Consider the following 20,061-nt stretch of genomic DNA (forward strand, 5'->3'; position numbering starts at 1 on the left):
TTAAAGGAAATTCTAAAGAATTTATTTTGGGTATAAGGCAAAGGATCATAGATGGAAACCCAGAGATAATATAAAAGCCAACACGTACACAGTTTACCAGACACCAGGCACCGCATTAACTAGTCTGCATATATTAACTCATTTAATTCTCACACAGCTCTGTGAGGTAATAATCCTCATTTTACTGTTGAAGAAACCAATACACAGAGTTAGAAAACTTGACTAAGGTCACACACCTAGTACAGGACAGAGCCAGAGATATGACACCAAGTATTGAGGATTTTAAATCTGACACTGGCTAGGTAAGTAAATAAATAAAGCAGGCCATGTATGGACTAATGATGAGAGTCTATCATAATCCAATTCTGTGAATCTGAGGTCCAACAGGATTTGTTTTTAAAAAATTCTATATGTGGGCTGGGTGTGGTGGCTCACGCCTGTAATCCCAGCACTTTGGGAGGCCAAGGCAGGCAGATCACCTGAGATCGGGAGTTTGAGCCTAGCCTGACCAACACGGTGAAACCCCATCTCTACTAAAAATGCAAAAATTAGCCGGGCGTAGTGGTGGGCGCTACTTGGGAGGCTGAGGCAGGAGAATCGCTTGAACCCAGGAGGCGGAGGTTGCAGCGAGCTGAGATCGTGCCATTGCACTCCAGCCTGGGTGACAGAGTGAGACTCCATCTCAAAAATAAAAATAAATAACAATAAAATCCTATATGTGATAGAATATGAAGCACAGAAAATCACCAATGATGTATTCTTGCCAAACATGTTTAACTTCTCCCAGGCCTTTAGATCTTTTCTCCAGCATGGAAAACACAGAACCTAGGAGCCTTCCTGCCCAGCTCTACTGCAGGCACAGAACAGAATCAACCTGGAGAATCACTAGTGCTTGGACATAGAGCTAGGGTCTTATCGACTTGGATCAGCTTTGACTCCAGATGGCAAAGAGAAGAGGGGAGGCAAACAAAGAAACAGAAGCAGAAAGTAGAAAAATAAATCCCAGCTGGGCGCAGTGGCTCACGCCTGTAATCCCAGCACTTTGGGAGGCCAAGGCAGGCTGATCACGCGGTCAAGATATCGAGACCATCCTGGCCAACATGGTGAAACCCCGTCTCTACTAAAAATACAAAAATTAGCTGGGTGTGGTGGTGCGTGGCTGTAGTCCTAGCTACTTGGGAGGCTGAGGCAGGAGAATCACTTGAACCTGGGAGACGTAGGTTGCAGTGAGCCAAGATCGTGCCAATGCACTCCAGCCTGGCAATAAAGTGAGACTCCGTCTGAAAAAATAATAATAATAAATAAATCCCATAATGCATTCACCAGAAGACAGTCATGGTGCCGCAGCAGGCTGCAGACACAAGGGAAGACTAACTAACCTCCTGAGCTGCCTCTGCCTGTCTAAATGAGCATCTGAGTCCAGTACCAAGGAGTTGAAGAAGGCTTTTTTGTGGGCAACGTCGTGGAGAACCTAGATGAGAAACCCTGAGCACCGGCTAGAGGTGAGTCCACTATTTCTCCAAAGTCAGAAAAGCACACTTCTTCTAAATGCACAAAAGATCTGTTTGTAAATCAATGATTAAAGAAGATATGTAGAGAGATGCCCTAGTTCACGTCTGCTGAGAGACCAGGTTGTTGAGAAGGACCCAGTGAAACTTCTTCAGGCTGCAGTAGAAATACTCGCTATATACATAATTATCTGGCTTCCCAGTGGAAGAAATAATAATGCCCTTTCTGGGGACATTATTTTCACATGCAGAATGTGCATGATTGTTAAGAGACATCAATTATCTACAAAGCTACTTACCCACTTGTGATATTTTTTCTTCTCAACATGCAGACTAAAGCCAGCCTGAACTGATTTTGAAAAATCTACTAAGCCTCATGTAAGGAATAGAGCATCACTACTGGTGATGCTACCAACCTTGAAGAGGTTGGGGAAACAGGAAGATAGCAGTCCACCTTTTAAACATCATTAACAAGAAGTCTGTATGTAAGTGCTGGCATTAGGAGGAAGCCAAGAACAGTGTAGACAGTGGAGCTCAGAAAGCAGGCCACAGACCCTGATGATAGTTTTGTTGTAGTCTCAGCAATGCACCAAGATGTAACAGTCTCTCCTTGTCTGAGATAACACCCAGAGTTCTTTGTCCTACCTCCAAGAAGACACAAAGGTGAGGTTGGAGCGAAAGTTTAATAAGCGAAACAAGAAAGTTCTCTGTCAGCAGAGAGGCGGGCCTAAACAGGGTGCCCCGTGTGAGGCTGGGGTCCAGGGTTTTCAGGGGCTGGGAAGAGGAAGGAATGTGCTTAGTCCCTGGGCTGTCTGGAGAACATGTGACTCAGCTTGACCTGACATCAACCAGAAAGGTTTGCCCGGGACCTTGGGTTGGGAACAATCAGGGGCTGAAGTGATGATTCATAGAGCCCAGACTTACAGTCCAAAAAAGAAAGAAAAGTGCCCACCGGAACCCACTAGAGCCCACTGTGCCCCTGCCCACAAAAGGAGAAGAAACTTTTTCCTGGGAGCCTGCTGACTATACAAAGGACAAAGGCATTTCTATGCCAGGCCTTGTTCCCTTATCTGAGTGGGCCGGAGGTTTATGTACGTTTTTATTTCTATGCCAGGCCTTGTTCCCTTATCTGAGTGGGCCGGAGGTCTATGCAAGTTTTTATCCAAATGGGCCGGAGGTTTTTCTATCTGTGCAGCTGTGGGCCTGTCTCCAGGCACAACACCCTGTGCTAGTTCCTTATCAGTGCCTGCAGCTTGAATTTTTTTCCCAGGCTCCTTTTTATGTTATGTGGGGATGAGACACTGACCCATGGGCTGGGGGCTCTCCAGGGACCCTTGCCTTGCTCTCTACCTAAGGCAAGCTAACTAACTCCTTTCAGTTTCAACACTGAAATAATTTGCTTTCTAAAATGAATCTCAGGGAAGACTTCTGGCCTATTTCACATGAATAAATGAATCTCAGAGATGTCTGGCCTATTTCACATGAATCTAGAGAGATCAGAGAGCGTAGAGAATTATAGACTTTGAAAACAGGGATTTTAAAGTTAAGGAGCTGCTCAAGTTGGAAGTGCAGGCCCTGGACAGAGGGATACTTTCTGGTCTTGAGCAAAAATCTCCAGTAGTTTCAGTCACACAACAACTTCCTGGAAATAATTATCACCCTCCTTAGAGGTCTGAGCCAGAAGAAAGAGAATCTACATTTCTTCTGAGTTCAGCAAGAAGATCATGAAGAAAATGAGCAGCTTTGATACTCCATTGCCAGATATGATCCTTCTGAGATATCACATATACTTAACTACTACAGCTTAGCATCCAGTGAATGCTAGGACACAGAAAGAATTTCTAACTACGATGTCTTTCAGCAATGCAAGATGCAGACCCTTTGGCCTTGACAATAGACCAAAAGGTATAATAAACTACAGAAAAGATTTTTCAAAATTAAGGGGCAAATTATGTTATGTGGAAGTGAAGAAAATTTTAAAATAAGGCTAGGCATCAGAAAAATGATTTGATCAATTTAAATCTTAGAAACAAATACCATGGCACTAATTTAAAGAATACAAAAAGCCACAATACAAAAACACAATTAAGAGAAGGGGACAATCCCAGCACTTTGGGAGGCCGAGGTGGGTGAATCACTTGAGGTCAGGAGTTCGAGACCAGCCTGGCCAACATGGTGAAACCGCCATCTCTACTAAAAATACAAAAATTAGCCAGGTGCGGTGGCACAGGCCTGTAATCCCAGCTACTAGGGAGGCTAAGGCAGGAGAATTGCTTGAGCCCAGGAGGTAGAGGTTGCAGTGAGCTGAGATCGTGCCACTGCACTCTGGGCGACAGAGCGAGACTCCATCTCAAAAAACAAACAAACAAACAAAAACAAAGAGAAGGGGACTGTTCATTAAATTCAGAGATTCCATCACTGATTACACACACACAATATAAAATTTGGATTCCACCTTTTTCTTCTAAATTTTATTCTAAAATATCACTCTTCTAACTGTAGAACAAACATCTAGACTGTCAGATCCTTGAAGTCAGAAACCAGATACCATTAGTGTCTGAATAGCCACAGTTCAATACAATACATTGTAAATGGTGTGAGTTAAATAAGTATTATGTAGATAAATAATTTGGCGATAGAACCCTCAAATGTCTTTAAACACAGTATTTCAAATTACTATATTTTTGCTTAGAGATCTGAAATGATACAAGTTGTACCCAAATATTGAACACTGAATTAAGCAAATAGGACAGGAAAAAAATTCTCCTGACTTAGATTTCTATTCCTCACTCCCACTATCCTTACTTGCCTCATACTATTTTTTTGAAGGTATTGAGTTAAATCTTTAATGAATGACACGTAAGAAGGTATGCTGACAACAAAGCTAACTTAGACTACCTCATGGGTGCCAGGCAGCGGGACGGTGGACTCTGAAATGATCCACTTCCTGTTAAACGCCAGTCCCGTTTTATATTTAATACAGGCCTGCTCCGATGAAGCACCACTCCATAGCTACTGACCATTTAAGTATGGAATATATAACTTAAATCTATAAATAACTTTAAAGTATAAACATGATTTTCTTTTAAAGTAAAAGTAAATAAATGGAAGATCAGCCATAGCTCTGGGGCACACCAGGCCTGACACTGAGCCTCCCCTCCCCTAAATGTCCGCAGCAACCCTTACTGGTCAGTATCTCATTTCCCTGACCATCTTGCTTCTGACACTAAGGCTAGAGTTACCACAGAGATTTCATAGATAGCAAAAAGCTTAAGGAAACAAAGTTTCCCACAGGAATTACATTCTGTCAAATAATAAACCCACATGGTACAGACTATTATTAAGACTGGTAGCCTGCTTCTTTTCAGCTTTAGAGGCTGCTTAAGAAAACTTGATACTGAAAGAGACCCTGCTGGTGGTCTTGGAGCAACACAGAATGATGGGGCTTACTTTAGTGGTGACAAGAATGACATGGCCAAAGAACAGTTGCTTATCTCCAAGTCTGTGGGGATCAGATAAATGAACTACGTTTTGGGGTTGGGGGTTTTTCTTTGTTTTGGAGGGGTTTTGACAGTGTACATATACATACATATGGTATATAGTTCAATAAAATTACTTTTCTTCTGTTTCATTCCTTAGTCACACCCCATACGTAGTTATCATTAAAATTTACTGATGAACAGTACCAAATTTAGAAGACTCTAGCACTGTAAAGGCATGGGAAGGTATTATGGACCCCAAGGTAAACTTCAAGAAAGGGTTGTCCCTAACATGACTCATTGTGGAGCAAAAGCACTAAGTTCTGTCTAGTTCTATCTGAGAGTAGATGACTTTTACCCACAAGTATTATTAGCAAATAGGGAACAAAAGCTTCTCTTAGCTTTGTCACTTTCTGTTCCCCAGGAAGGTTTCTGGCTGATGGAGGCAGAAAGGACAGTGAGTGACCCAAAATGAATCAACAACCTCTAAATGGGCCGATAGAACACCCTTGAGTCCTACCCAGGCCAGGACCCAGAGACTGGAAGCTAAGAACTGTTATCAGCCACATGGGTCTTCATCAAAGCAGAGGTGCACAGCTCCTTCCTCGAACTAAAGCCCAGCTCGTTTGAGGGGGAGAACGGAAGCTGGCGCAGGAAGGCTGTGTGGATTCCCCAAGGCCTGATGATACTCTAGATCATCCCTAACCATATAGGCAGAGTGCAGAATATAATCCCACTTTGAAAATGGATAACACTATATTAAGGGTATTGTTTCTTGGGAAAATCCACAATGCTTACTCTGAAACTTTTAACTCAAGAATGTCAAAGCCACACTGGTATGCAGGTACCTTCTCCTCTTAAAAATATAGATGAGGCCAGGCGCAGCGGCTCACACCTGTGATCCCAGAACTTTGGGAGGCCTAGGCGGGTGGATCACCTGAGGTTAGGAGTTCATGACGAGCCTGGCCAACATGGCAAAGCCCCATCTCTACTAAAAACACAAAAGTTAGCCGGGTGTGGTGGCGTGCACCTGTAGTCCCAGCTACTTGGGAGGCTGAGGTAGAAGAATCACTTGAACCCAGGAGGCGGAGGTTGCAGTGAGCCAAGATCGTGCCACTGCACTCCAGCCTGGGCAACAAGAGTGAGACTGCATCTCAAAAAAAAAAAGTATATATATATATATACTTTTTCTCATATATATATATATATGAGAGAGAGAGAGAGAGAGGAGTATTTTGGTATCAAGCACCACATGAAGATGTTTCAAAACTTGAACCGCCTAATGTAGTGCGCATGTTAAGCAGACTTTAAAAGAGATCCTGGCCGGGTGCGGTGTCTCATGCCTATAATCCCATCACTTTGGGAGGCTGAGCTGGGTGGATCACCTGAGGTCAGGAGTTCGAGACCAGCCTGGCTAACATGGTGAAACCCCATCCCTACTAAAAATACAAAAATTAGCTGGGCATGGTGGCGGGCACCTGTAATCCCAGCAACTCGGGAGGCTGAGGCAGGAGAATCGCTTGAACCAGGCAGGCAGAGGTTGCAGTGAGCCAAGATCATGCCACAGCACTCCAGCCTGGGCGACAGAGTGAGACTCTGTCTCCAAAAAAAAAGAAAAAAAGAGAGAGTGATCCTAAGTAATCATTCATACCTATCTTCACAAAATATGGTCAATTCTGGGTTTGGGGGGCTGATATTTGAGATTATATATAGAACTAAATTGTTTCACTCACGACATAGAATCATCCAAACTGCATGTACACACAAATGGCTTTATGCAAAGGCCCTGACAGAACGATATTTAGTTTTTCAGATTAGGTACATAGGGCCAACCAGCCCACCCTGTACATTCCAGCAAGTGCAAGAGCAGCAACTTTCCTATTTCAATACAATTATGGGCAGAAATTATATGATGTAAAATAGAGGCCCTTCCATAAAGTTAAGATTTAGGGTAGAAGAAGGGAAGATAAAACCAAAATTCCCATGAAGTCAAAATTAGACAGTGGTCTTGTACTCTGCTGAACCCTGTGATGAACTGTAGTCCTCAAACTCATGGACTCGGATCCAGGTTCACCAAGACACTTCAGTATGCTTCCAACTGTTTCATCATCATCTTCCTGCTGTATTCGTAGGCCACAAACAGTGCCCCATTGGCAGGGATTGCTCGAATCATAGTAGCTTTCAGTCCAGAATATAAGGCTACTATTCCTTCATTTCTCACAACACTTAAGAGGGTACCAATAAATCCTGCCTGTTTCCCATACATGGAAAGAACTTGAATTCTGGATTTAATACAATCCACTGGGAACACGACAAGCCACAGGCAAATTCCAGCAACTCCACCACTTAACATCAAATGGACAGGGCCTAGTTCATCTTTTGATCTCCCTGACGCAAAAAACGATCGGCTCAGTTCATAGCCACCAAAGAAAAAGAAATAACCCGGTACTTCTTGAAGTAGAGTACTCGAGAGTCCATGGTAGAAGCCCAAGGGGCCATCCTTTTTAAGGATACCCTTCACGACAGACCAAATTGTATTATGGCTTTTTGCTATCTTCCCTGACATCTCCATTTCATACATGGTCTGTAGCCGGCACTTCACAAGCTCAGTGGGGCAGAGAGCCAGTGCAGCAAATGCAGAGGCGAAGGACCCCGCGGCTGCAGTCTGGAGATCACTCAGCTTTGCCTGCTTGTCCATTCCAGCCACTTTCCTGACAAACTGCTGGCAGAACCCGTAGCACATGAAGAGGACCGAGTTTTCGGCGACGTAGGCCATAAGTGCCGGGCCGGTGCCCTTGTAGAAGCCCCGGAGACCCACTTGAGCGTATGTCTTCAGGAAGCAGTCGGTGAGGCCCTTGTACAGGTCAGGGAACGTCTGCATCTTCACTTTTATTGTGTCGAAGGGCTGCCCAGTCAGTACACACGCTGTCCCCCCTGCGGCCCCCGCTGTGAGGTCGATGGCGGCTTGGATGCCAGGACCGGACTTCATGTTCGCTCACTCGTCTGAGGGTCCCAGTGGAAGGCGACTAACTCCCCAGAGCGTGAGACCGGCTTTTCACGTCCAGCCGCAGCGAGCGCGGGGAATGGAGTTGGGGGTGGTGGGGTGGCTCTACCGCCTGTTCTGGGCTCTCACCCCAGTGCGGGGGAAGCCGCTCAACCCTACGCTCCGCCGCGGGCCGCCCCCTCCCCGCGCACTAAAATAACCCCCAGCTGCCGGCCCAGCGCGCGGCTCACTAGCGTTCCTGCGGCTCCTGGCGCACTGGCCGGGCCCCCAGCCGCCTCCAGCCTGGAGCCGCCATCCCTGCACCCGCAGGCGGGGGACGCGGACCGAATAAATACTTTTAGTGTACTGCGACTGGGCGCGGTGGCTCACTCCTGTATCCCAGCACTTTGGGAGGCCGAGGCGGGAGGATCGCTTGAGCCCAGGAGATCGAGACCAGCCTGGGCAATATGGCAAGACTCCATTTCTACAAAAACGAAAAAATACCCGGGCGCGATGGCGCGCGCCTGTGGTCCCAGCAATTCAGGAGAATGAAGCGAGGATCGCTTGAACCCGGGAGGTCGATGCTGCAGTGAGCTATGATCGCACACTGCACTCCAGGGTGGGCGAAAGGGTGAGGCTCTGTCTCAAAACAAAACCAAAACCAAGAAAACATGTAAAGCTTTTCGATAAATTCTTGCAATTATGGCCGGGAACTCTAGACGCCGCAGTTCAGCTGGCGGCAAAAGAAATGCTGTCCTAATCAGTCAGCCCTGCTTCTTTTCTTTTCTCTCTTTTTTTTTTTTTTGACTTAGGGTCTCACTCGGCCGCCTAAGCTGGAGTTCAGTGGCGCGATCCTGGCTCACTGCAGCCCCAATCTCCTGGCCTCAGGCGATCCTCTCACCTCAGCCTCCTGAGTAGCTGAGACTAGAGGGACTACAGGCGCAAGCCACCACATCTGGCTAAATTTTGTATTGTACAGACGGGGTTTCGCCATGTTGCCCAGGCTAGTCTCGAACTCCTGAACTCAAGCAATCCACCCACTGGCCTCCCAAAGTGTTGGGGCTTACAAGCATGAACCACCACACCCGGCCTATCCCACGCTTCTTACCATGCAAAAAACAAAAACAAACAACCCGAAAAGAAGATGCCCTCACTTGAATAGACCCTGAATTCAGAGGGTCAATCTACAAGAAAACTGCTTTAAAGTAGATAAGACAGGCCAGGTGTGGTGGCTCATGCCTGTAATCCCAACACTTGGAGAGGCTGCGGAGGGAGGCTCATTTGAGCCTAGGAGTTCAAGGCTAGCTTGGGCAGCAAAATGAGACACCCCTTACCCCCTACAAAAAATAAAGTAGAGAAGACAAACTGTCAGAGGCGCTGGAACCACAGCAACTCCATCTTGACTAGGGACTGAGTAAAATAAGGCCGAGACCTACTGGACTGCATTCCCAGGAAGACAGGCATTCTAAGTCACAGGATGAGATAGGAGGCCGGCACAAGATACGGGTCACAAAGACCTTGCTGATAAAACAGGTTTCAGTAAAGAAGCCAGCCAAATCCCACCAGAATCAAGATGGCATAATAAGTGACCTCTGGTCGTCCTTACTGCTCATTATACGCCAATTATAATGCATTAGCATGCTAAAAGACACGCCCACCAGCGCCGTGTCCACTTACAGATGCCATGGCAACAATAAGAAGTGACCCTATGTGGTCTAAAAAGGGGGAGGAATCCTCAGTTCCGGTAACTTTGGACCCCTTTCCCAGAAACCTCATGAATAATCCACCCCTTGTTTAGCTTACATTCAATAAAAAACTGTAAGTATCCTTAGTCAAGCCGCCCAGGCCACTGCTGTGCCTATGGAGTAGCCATTCTTTTGCTTCTTTACTTCTCTAATAAACTTGCTTTCACTTGACTCTATGAACTTGCCCCAAATTATTTCTTGCATGAGATCCAAGAACAATCTCTTGGGTCTGGATCGGGACCCCTGTCCGGTAACGAAACGATCTGAGGGTTGCTACATGAGAGACAGTGACTGCTTTTGATCAGAAAACCCTCAGCGATCTGCCCACGCTCCTCACTTTCCTGGGGGGCAAGGAGGGGAGTAGGGCACTGTGGGAATCCTTAGCCCTGGAGATGTGCTACTGCTTTCCTGCAGAGCTGGAGAAATGCTATCACATGGCAACATCCCCAAGGATCTGGGGTTGCAGCCCTGGGAACTGGTGGAACGTGGAGTCCTTATCATTTCTGAAGATAGAACACGGCACTATAAAATCAACTTGGAAAATGGATAGTATTTATATACTGCATTGCTAAGAAACTTGATAGAAAAGAGCTGGGTGGCTCAGCACTATGCTTTCTAAGTTTTGAGATTCTCTTTGAGGACCCACACAGCCTCATGCAGAAGTAGAAATTTGTCGTTTGTACACTGTTGGTGGGAATGTAAAATAGTTCAACCCCTATGGAAAGCAGTATGGAGATTTCTCAAAGAACTAAAAATAGAACACCCATTCAACCCAGCAATCCCACTATTAGGTATCTACCCAAAGGAAAAGAAATCATTTTATCAAAAAGACACCTGTGCTGGGGACAGTGACTTACACCTGTAATCCCAGAATTTTGGGAGCCCAAGCCAGGTAGATCGCTTGAGCCCAGGAGCTCCAGACCAGCCTGGACAACATGGCAAAATGCCATCTCTACAAAAAAATACAAAAAGTAGCCATGCATGATGGCATGCCCCTGTAGTGGCAGCTACACAGGAGGCGGAGATGGGAGGATTGACTGAGCTGAGTTGGAGGCTGCAGTGAGTTATGATCCAGCCTGGGTGGCAAAACAAGACCCTGTCTCCAAAAAAAAAACCAGAAAACATCTACACTCATATGTTTATGGAAGCACTATTCACAACAGGAAAGTCACAGAATCAATGTAAGTGTTCATCAATAGTTGATTGGATAAAGAAAATGTGGTATATGTATACCACGGAATACTATGCAGCCATAAAAAAGAATGAAATTATGTCCCTCACAACATGGATGGAGCTGGGGGCTGTTATTCTAGGTGAAATATCTTAGAACCAGAAAATCAAATACTGCATGTTCTCACTTATATAAGTGGGAGCTAAACAATGGGTACACAAAGACATAAAGATGGGAATAACAGACACTGGGGAATCCAAAAGTGGGGAGGGTGGGAGGGATTGAGGGTTGAAAACCTACCTGTTGGGTACTACATTCACTATGTGGGTGACGGGTTCACTAGAAGCCCAAACCTCAGCGTTACACAACATACCCATGTAACACACCTGCACATGTACTCCTTGAATCTAAAATGAAATTCAATTTAAAAAGAAGTAGAAGTTCGGGATACAAATGACATGTCTAGCTTTCAAAGCAAGATGTTTTTTGGACATTAGTGAGGATACCACTGTCAGGACACACTTCTTCCTCCCAGATATTTATAATCCCAGCATTGGAATGAATTCTCTCCAGGCTTACATTCCAAGCCGTCGTCGGCCATGGGTAGTAAAAACAAAATCTGGGGGGAAGAAAGTATGCTGAAAGCATTCTCTTTCATTTAGAAAACTTTCCTTGTCTAATTATCCTTGGCTGTCAATTAAAAGTGAGGTACTTCAGAACAAAGGTCTCTGAGAAAATTTAAAAAAAAATTTTTTAATGAGGTACTAAAAAGCAAATTGTGCATGGATAATTTGTCACCAGGTAGTCTTCACTGTAGTAAATAGTAATCTGGGCTTTTCTTTGGGAAATGCCCAAATGTCAGCAGTTGCAGTTCTTTTCTCTGGTACCACATAGTTTCCTCAGAGAATGCTCTATGAGCTTTGACTGTGTGTGTGCAGGGTGTGGTGGGGGAGAGGTAGGTTATAAACCTAGATACTGATTTAAAGAGAACAAGAGAGGGGAAGAGGGATGACACACCTGGAGTAAATATACAGACTTTCACATAATTTTTTCCTTATTTGACACTGTGCCTACTTTCTCTGAGTTTGGGCCTTCTTTGGTTCAATTTATCCAGAAAATAAAATTTCCATCTTCTGTGGGATGGAAAGAGTTATCTGGCTTCATAGAGTGGGATAGAGATCCTGGACACCCAACAACTCTGAACACAGACTTTAATGAATCTCACATCTCTAACCCTACACCTTCCCACCTTCCCTGGAATCTTCTGCTTGCAAAAATTTTGCATCTTACAAGGCTCTGTCAAGTGGGTTTGTCTCTCTTTGGTATAACTACTTGCAGACATTTAGCATGTAACTTTTTCTGATCTATGAATTCATTTATCATTTCTCTGTTTTGGCCTTCAGATAATGGGTTGACATCTCTCATCCACTGTTGTCTCATTTCCTATTCTCTTTGTCCTTAGAAGTTAACATCTTTTAAAAATCCTTTCTGTTGTTTTATTTAGCAGCCTCTTAGGTAAAGCAGAAAGGATGAGAACAATCTGCAATTTGAAAATAGAAAACTTCATTAGGATTTTTAAATCCTTCATGTCATATTTGAGGAATTTTTTTCTATGTTTTGATTTCACTTTCAGGAAAGGGAACGGGGGAAAAGGGTTTTGTTTTGGTTTGTCTTGCTCTGCTGCCCAGGCCAGAATGCAGTGGCACAATCATGGCTCACTGTAACCTCAACCTCTCAGGCTGAAGCAATCCTTCCACTTTAGCCTCCCATGTAGCTGGGCCAGAGGTGTGCACCATCACACCCAGCTAATTTTTAAATTTTTTGTAGAGACAGAATCTCACTATGTTGCCCAGGCTGGTCTCAAATTCCTGGGCTTAAGTGATCCTCCCATCTCAGCCTCCCAAAGTGCTGGGATTACAGGAATAAGGCACTGTGCTCAGCCCAGAAATTATTTAAATAATAACATATTATGTAGATTTTGCAAGGTCACCTAATATAAATTAGAAATTTGCCTTCGAAGCATCCTGTAGTCTAAAAATAAACACTGAATGGCAAATGAAACAGATATTTGGAAATGGTTTAGCCATTAGATGTAGACCTTAAGACAAAGGGAGCCCATTATATGTGTAATAAATATAAGCAAGTCCAAGGCATTCCAAGTCTAGTGACATGGCATATAGTCTGCATTACTATTTCATTATGGAGAGAGCCTAAAACATATAATTAAGGTTATTTACTGTAAAGGTGTTATCTGAGTGAGATTTAAAAAATATTTTATATATTTTATCTTTCATTGCAAATAAATGGATTAAGTTCTACATTGCTATTTTATCTTCTTTTGCTGTATGAACAGCCATGCTAGGCTATTTTTGCCTCCATAAAAAGCATTTCACTGCATTCCAGCCTGGGTGACAGAGCAAGACAAAACAAAACCTTTTTCCCCCCTTCCCTTTTCTGAGAATGAAATCAAAATATATGGATCCCACTGGGCTACAGTTCATGATGCACACATATTGCCAGTCTTTAAGCACTGTTTCTGTGAGTGGAAAAATGCACTCAAGATGTTTTGCGTCTGCTCACACCACAACAATAAACACAGCAGACTTCTGTGACCAAATGGGTCGGGGTTTCTCCCCACACACCAAGCAAGCAATCAGTTCTACAGCAGACACCAGCTGGGTGTTTTCCAATCCAATTCCAACACTATCTACCTGGAGAAAGCATCAGATTCCACAGGGTAAGTGCTCAGTATCCAAGACTGCACCCCACCCCACTCCCACCTCAGACACTAGTCGTTAAGTCCGGGGCTCCAGAACTTCTAACAGACCAGCTTCATGTTGAGGTTGCTACGGCCCCTCTTTGGGTTTAATTCACTAGAGCTGCTCACAGGACTCAGGGAAACACGTTTACTGGTTTACTATAAAAAATATTACAAAAGGATACAGATGAAACGATGCATAAGGTGAGACATAGGGAAAGAAGCACAGAAATTCCATGCCTTCCCCAGGGCTCCATCCTCCAAGAACCTCCATGTGTTTAGCTATCAGATAGCTCGCTGAACCCAGGGTTTTTATGGAAGCTTCATTACATAGGACTGGTTGATTGAATCATTTGCCAGTGGTGATCAGCTTAACCTTCAGCCCCTCTCCCCTTCTCTAGAGGTTGATCCTAATCCTGCCTTGGTCTTTCTGGCCACCAGACCCCATCCTAAGGCTACCTAGGGACTGCCAGCCTTCAAGTCAATCATTAGCATAGAAAAAAACATCACTTTGGAGTTTCTAAGGATTTTAGCAGCTGTATACCAGGAAATGAGTCAAAGACCAAATACATATTTCACAATATCACACTTTTCTTCACTTTGTCTCTCGGATCAAGAACACACAGAAATAACAATTGCTCCCAACTGATACCAACACCTAATATTATATCTTTTTTTTTCTAAACACTTGTACCAGGGGACTAATATTAGATCTTGAATTTAAGAGTTGAAGGCTCTCCATGTACTAATTCCATCTACTCTTCTAATGAACTCTGCTTATTTTTTCAAATGACATTTATGTACAAGCATTACTTATATACTTATGTAAAATAAATCACTCCCAAAACTTAGTGGCATTAAAAAGCAATAAACATTTGTTATATCCCATAGTTTCTGTGTGTCCAAAATTCCAGAGCGGTTTCTCTCCATGTGCAGACCTGATTTCTTTTTTTTTTTATATACTTTAAGTTCTAGGGTACATGTGCACAACGTGCAGGTTTGTTACATATGTATGGATGTGCCATGTTGGTGTGCTGCACCCATTAACTCATCATTTACATTAGGTATATCTCCTAATGCTATCCCTCCCTCCTCCCCCCACCCCACAACAGGCCCTGGTGTGTGATGTTCCCCTTCCTGTGTCCAGGTGTTCTCATTGTTCAATTCCCACTTATGAGAGAATATGTGGTGTTTGGTTTTTTGTCCTCGTGATAGTTTGCTGAGAATGATGGTTTCCAGCTTCATTCATGTCCCTACAAAGGACATGAACTCATCCTTTCTTATGGCTGCATAGTATTCCATGGTGTATATGTGTGCCACATTTTCTTAATCCAGTCTATCATTGATGGGTTGGTTCCAAGTCTTTGCTATTGTGAATAGTGCTGCAATAAACATATGTGTGCATGTGTCTTTACAGCAGCACGATTTATAATCCTTTGGGTATATACCCAGTAATGGGATGGCTGGGTCAAATGGTATTTCTAGTTCTAGATCCTTGAGGAATAGCCACACTGTCTTCCACAATGGTTGAACTAGTTCAGAGTCCCACCAACAGTGTAAAAGTGTTCCTATTTCTCCAAATCCTCTCCAGCACCTGTTGCTTCCTGACTTTTTAATGATCGCCATTCTAACTGGTGTGAGATGGTATCTCATTATGGTTTTGATTTGCATTTCTCTGATGGCCAGTGATGATGAGTATTTTTTCATGTGTCTGTTGGCTGCATAAATGTCTTCTTTTGAGAAATGTGTACAGACCTGATTTCAAAGCCACTCTCACACTTTATATTTTTATGGCAGCACCTCACTTCTAGGTAGGTAGCAAAAATTTGTACTGGTTATCTGCTGCTGCATCAGAAATTACTCCAAAATGAAGTGAAATAAATGAGCTACAAACATTTATATGTCATATAGTTTCTGTGGATCAGGAATTTAGGAGCAGCTTAGCTGGGTATTTCTCACTTAGGGGTCTCTCATGAGGTTTCTGTCAAGATGTCAGTTACAGTTTCAGTCATCTGAAGCCTTGACCAGGGGCTGGAAAATCTGATTCAAAGATGGATCACTCACATGACTGGCAAGTTCTGCTGGCTGTTCACAAGAAGGCCTCAGTTTGTCACCACTTGGACCTCTCTAAAGAGTGTCCCCACAATATTGTGGCTGATTTCCCTTGGCGTGAGCGATCCAAGAGAGAGGAAGCAAAAGTCACATGTCTTTTATGACCTTGCCTTGCAAGTCACAAATCATTATTTCTGCAATAGCTTATCATTTACTCAGGACATTCCCATTCAATGTAGGAGGGGACTATACAAGATTAATACCAGGAGGTAAGAATCAATGGGAGCCATCTTGGAGGCTAGCTATCACAGTACCTGTGAGAAAAAAAAAAATCTAAGAAAAGATTGTAGAGAGAATGTGGGAGATAATTTCCATGGAAGGGTCACTCTCAGGCTTCAGGTTAATAGGAAGGGTGGGCATTGAGTTCAGGACATGTAGGAAATGGAAGTAAATCCAGGAAATGTAGCTCTCGCCTAGAAAAGAATATCCCAGTGATAAGGATACCCATGAAAAATTACTTTTTCTGCTTAGGAGTATGTTTTATTTATAAGAAGAAATGTTAGGATTGTATAAAAATATATCATAAATATTGATAGGGGGCATGAGAGTTTTGATGGGGCCAAGTGAATAAATTCATGAAGAGAAGAGCAGGAAATAAGCAAGAAAGGAGAAATGTTTTACTGGGTAAGTGCTCCTTTCTTGCTTATTTCTTGCTCTCCTCTTGATGCGTTTATTGTCTGGTACTGACTTGGAATGCGTGCACTTGGAAAGTCAATACTGGACTATAATTGTTTTATTTTCAATTTTATCTCATGTTAGTACAGTACCTTACTTTGTATTCTGAATTTAGCTGCTCATTTATGAAGGAGAGAAAAGAGAGACATCTAACCTTTCCCCTTTTGCTCTTCTATAAGGAGATACAATATAGAAACTGCATATGGCAACAGAAAGAACAGGATTTTTAAAAATGAATATGCTACATTAACCATTTGCCTGCTATTAATGGGAGTCAATGTACTAGCTACTATAAGAAAAAGAAACTGAAGCACAGATGTTAGAGAAATTTGAGGAATTAGAAGTACTAGAAAATGGCTGAACTGCGACACTGCCCCTGCAGTGGGCTTATTCTGGTGAGCATTTTTTTTTTTTCCCGAGACAGGGTCTCGCTCTGTTGCCCAGGCTGGAGTGCAATGGCCAGATCTTGGCTCATTGCAACCTCTGCCTCCCAGGTTTAAGCTATTCTTCCGCCTCAGCCTCCTGAGTAGCTGAGATTACAGGCACCCACCACAATGCCCAGCTAATTTTTTGTATTTTTAGTAGAGACAGGGTTTCACCATGTTGGCCAGGCTGGTCTTAAACTCCTGGCCTCAAGTGATCTGCCTGCCTCGACCTCCCAAAGTGCTGGGATTACAGGAGTGAGCCACTGCGCCCAGCCCTGCTGAGCATTCTTCATAAAATGTACCTGAAATGAGACAAGTCTTTCTCATGAGTAACAACCAAGGACTTCAGAATAGTGCTCTCTCAGGACATTGTCTCTTAAGGTAGAACACAATTCATGTGAAGCTTACAGAATGGGGTCATATGTTTCAATAGCAACAGTAATTAGGAAGAGATACATGATGAGAAAAGCCAAGGCCTTATACATTTTGAAAAACTGTACAAAACCCATGCTGATATTGAAAATACCTGCAGATGTTGAAAAACCAGATAGTGAAATTCTAGTTATGAGTGACAATTCATGGGTATTCTTTTGTTTTTTGATTTTTTTGTTCTTGTTGTTGTTTTTTATTGAGATGGAGTCTCGCTCCGTCACCCAGGCTGGAGCGTGGTGGCACAATCTCGGCTCACTGCAATATCCACCTCCCAGGTTCAAGCAATTCTCCTGTCTCAGCCTCCTAAGTAGCTGAGACTACAGGTGCTTGCCATCACAGCCGGCTAATTTTTGTATTTTTAGTAGAGATGGGGTTTCACCTTGTTGGTCAGGCTGGTCTTGAACTCCTGACCTCAGGCGATCCATCTGTCTTGGCCTCCCAAATTGCTGGGATTACAGGCGTAAGCCACCATGCCCAGCCGGGTGTTCTTTTACAAGTAGAAAGACATCTATTAAAATTAGTGTAAGACTATTGCCTGACATGAGTTTCCAGTTAAGGGGTACCTGAAACTTCAACATGAGAATATGTTGTCTGCAAACTAGAATTTGAAAAGCAATGCTTATTTTTCCCTAGATATTAAAATTAGAACAAAAAAAGACACCACCATGTAGCTGATCTTACAGAATGATTTAGAAAAGAAAGAGGAAGTCTTTCATCATCTCATTATGACCACCAGAGGTGAAACAGTGAGAGGAACTCACATACCCATAACTAAAGATAAATGTAAATGACAGTGTCCCAGTATGCCCCAGTTCCATTAAACAAAGTTATTTGGAGGAAAATATCACATTGGAAACCATACTCCATAACACCAAGGCCAGGGATCAGTACAAGAACATTAATACCTTCAATGAATTGTCAGGCATAATAACACAAGTAACAGAGGCAGATTCCCTGAGGTCAAATTCTATGAAATACATTTGACCATACAGTTGGACTTGGAGAAAACAGAGCCAAGCATATACAGTAACATTGCCCAAGATAATAGGCAATCTTAAGCAATTAAAACCATTTCCCTGATTCCAACTAACCAGAATGATGCTGCTTCTGTTTTTAAGCACATATCCTCCAGAACACATATATTAGAAAATAGTAGCAAAGAACCTTCCAACTTTTTAATGAAGACCACTGCACTTGACATAGCACCTGACATGATGAAACATCTAAATCACATGCTTCTTAAGAATTAGATTGAATGGCCAGATAGGGTTACCAGAGAAAATAAGGGTTGAGTTGGGCCTTCAGTGACAAAAAGCTATCCATGAGAATATCTGGTGACTATTCCAAGAAAAGAGAACTGTAAGTGCTAAACTGTAGGAGGAAAGAGCTGAGTAAATTTGTTTATGCTGCAGATAAATTTGAAGCAAACCGTTTCTGCTGTAACCTAATTTATAAGCTTTCATTTAGAATTTTTTTTCCCATCTGAATTTGGTTGAAACTGATCTCTAAAATTTCTTAAATTTGAAAACAATTACATTTAGAATAGTTGTTTCCCTATAAACACTTTTTCTAACATTTCAGTCACTCTTTAATTATTTAGTATCTGTTATGGTCCATACCTTAATGGGTTGTAATAGTGGTAAATTTACTTCTGTTGTTTACTTACTATGTTCCAGGCATTGTTCTAAATAAGTCATTTATATGATTCAGCAGCCAGCAGCCAACAGCCCAATAACCCTATGAGGTAGGTAGTATTATTGCCTCCACTTTGGAGATGAGAAAATTGAGGTAAACAGATTGCTACCTGTGCAAGGTCACACAACTAATAGGTAACTGAGCTAGGATACGAACCATGCATGACATGTCTTGATGTTAAGATTTTGATCTTTCTACTATTCTTCAGTAAGTTTACAGTCACTAATGTAGCAAAATATCTCAGTAAATTTAAAGCCAAGCAGGAGATACGAACAAAGGTAATTTACACTTTAGTTATAACAGATACTCATCCCAGTAGACCGTGCAGTGCATGAGTTTATAGACACTAAATGCTTTGTTCATCACTGCATATCCAGTAGCTTGTAGTTTGGTGCGCGCGCACACACACACACACACACACACACACCCCTTGTAGTTTGGCACACACACACACAAAATGTTTGTCAAATAAATGAGAGAGGGAAGAACAAAGTGCAAAGCCGTAATAGGGTTGCTTAACCTAGAGGGAGAAAAGGGTCAGAAAAGCCTTGCTGAAGTCACTTAGGTTGAGACCTGAGGGTTAAGTAGGACTCAGACAAAGGGTAAAGTCATCTAGGTGGAGTGAACTGCTTGTTAAAAGGATCTATGGCCCAGGAGTGGGAGAATGAGTAAGCTCCTTGAAAAAAATGTAAGTTCAGAGTGGACTGACCATATACTGAATGCGGAGCTGAGGCTGAAAAGGTAAATGGAGAACTCATAATCTTGTGCATCTTTTTGAGAAATACAAACCTAGCCCTGAGAGCAATGAGATGTCACTGAAGGGTTTTCAGCATGGTAGTAACACAATCAAATATGTCTCAGAAAAATGAGTTTGGTGGCAGTGAAAACTAAATTGGATGGTAAAGAAGCTATTGCCATTTGATAGATAATAATAATGGCTTGAAATAGGACAGTGGCTGTAAGGATGAAGTAGAGTGAGTGAAGAACTTCTTAAGTAAAATCAAAAGTAGCAAGGGAAAGGGAGAAATGTAAAGTTATGGCTCTAGTGTCCAGCTTCCACAGTTGGGATGTGTGGTGG

General features: G+C 43.0%; 1 protein-coding gene across 1 annotated transcript, besides 1 other annotated feature; it reads right to left on the reverse strand.

Annotated features, from left to right (window-relative positions):
* Positions 4,795–5,089: a silencer, noted in NCBI's record as "tiled region #13681; HepG2 Repressive non-DNase unmatched - State 24:Quies". NCBI's record gives its function as "represses a minimal TATA promoter and a strong SV40 promoter by Sharpr-MPRA in HepG2 cells {active_cell/tissue: HepG2}" and the evidence as "EXISTENCE:reporter gene assay evidence [ECO:0000049][PMID:27701403]".
* SLC25A2 (solute carrier family 25 member 2) lies at positions 6,746–8,160 on the reverse strand. The gene has a single exon (NM_031947.4). It carries the CDS (start codon positions 7,974–7,976, stop codon positions 7,071–7,073), a length of 906 nt encoding a protein of 301 aa, NP_114153.1. The 5' UTR covers positions 7,977–8,160; the 3' UTR covers positions 6,746–7,070.

Source organism: Homo sapiens, chromosome 5 (assembly GCF_000001405.40).
Source record: "Homo sapiens chromosome 5, GRCh38.p14 Primary Assembly".
NCBI lineage: Eukaryota > Metazoa > Chordata > Mammalia > Primates > Hominidae > Homo > Homo sapiens.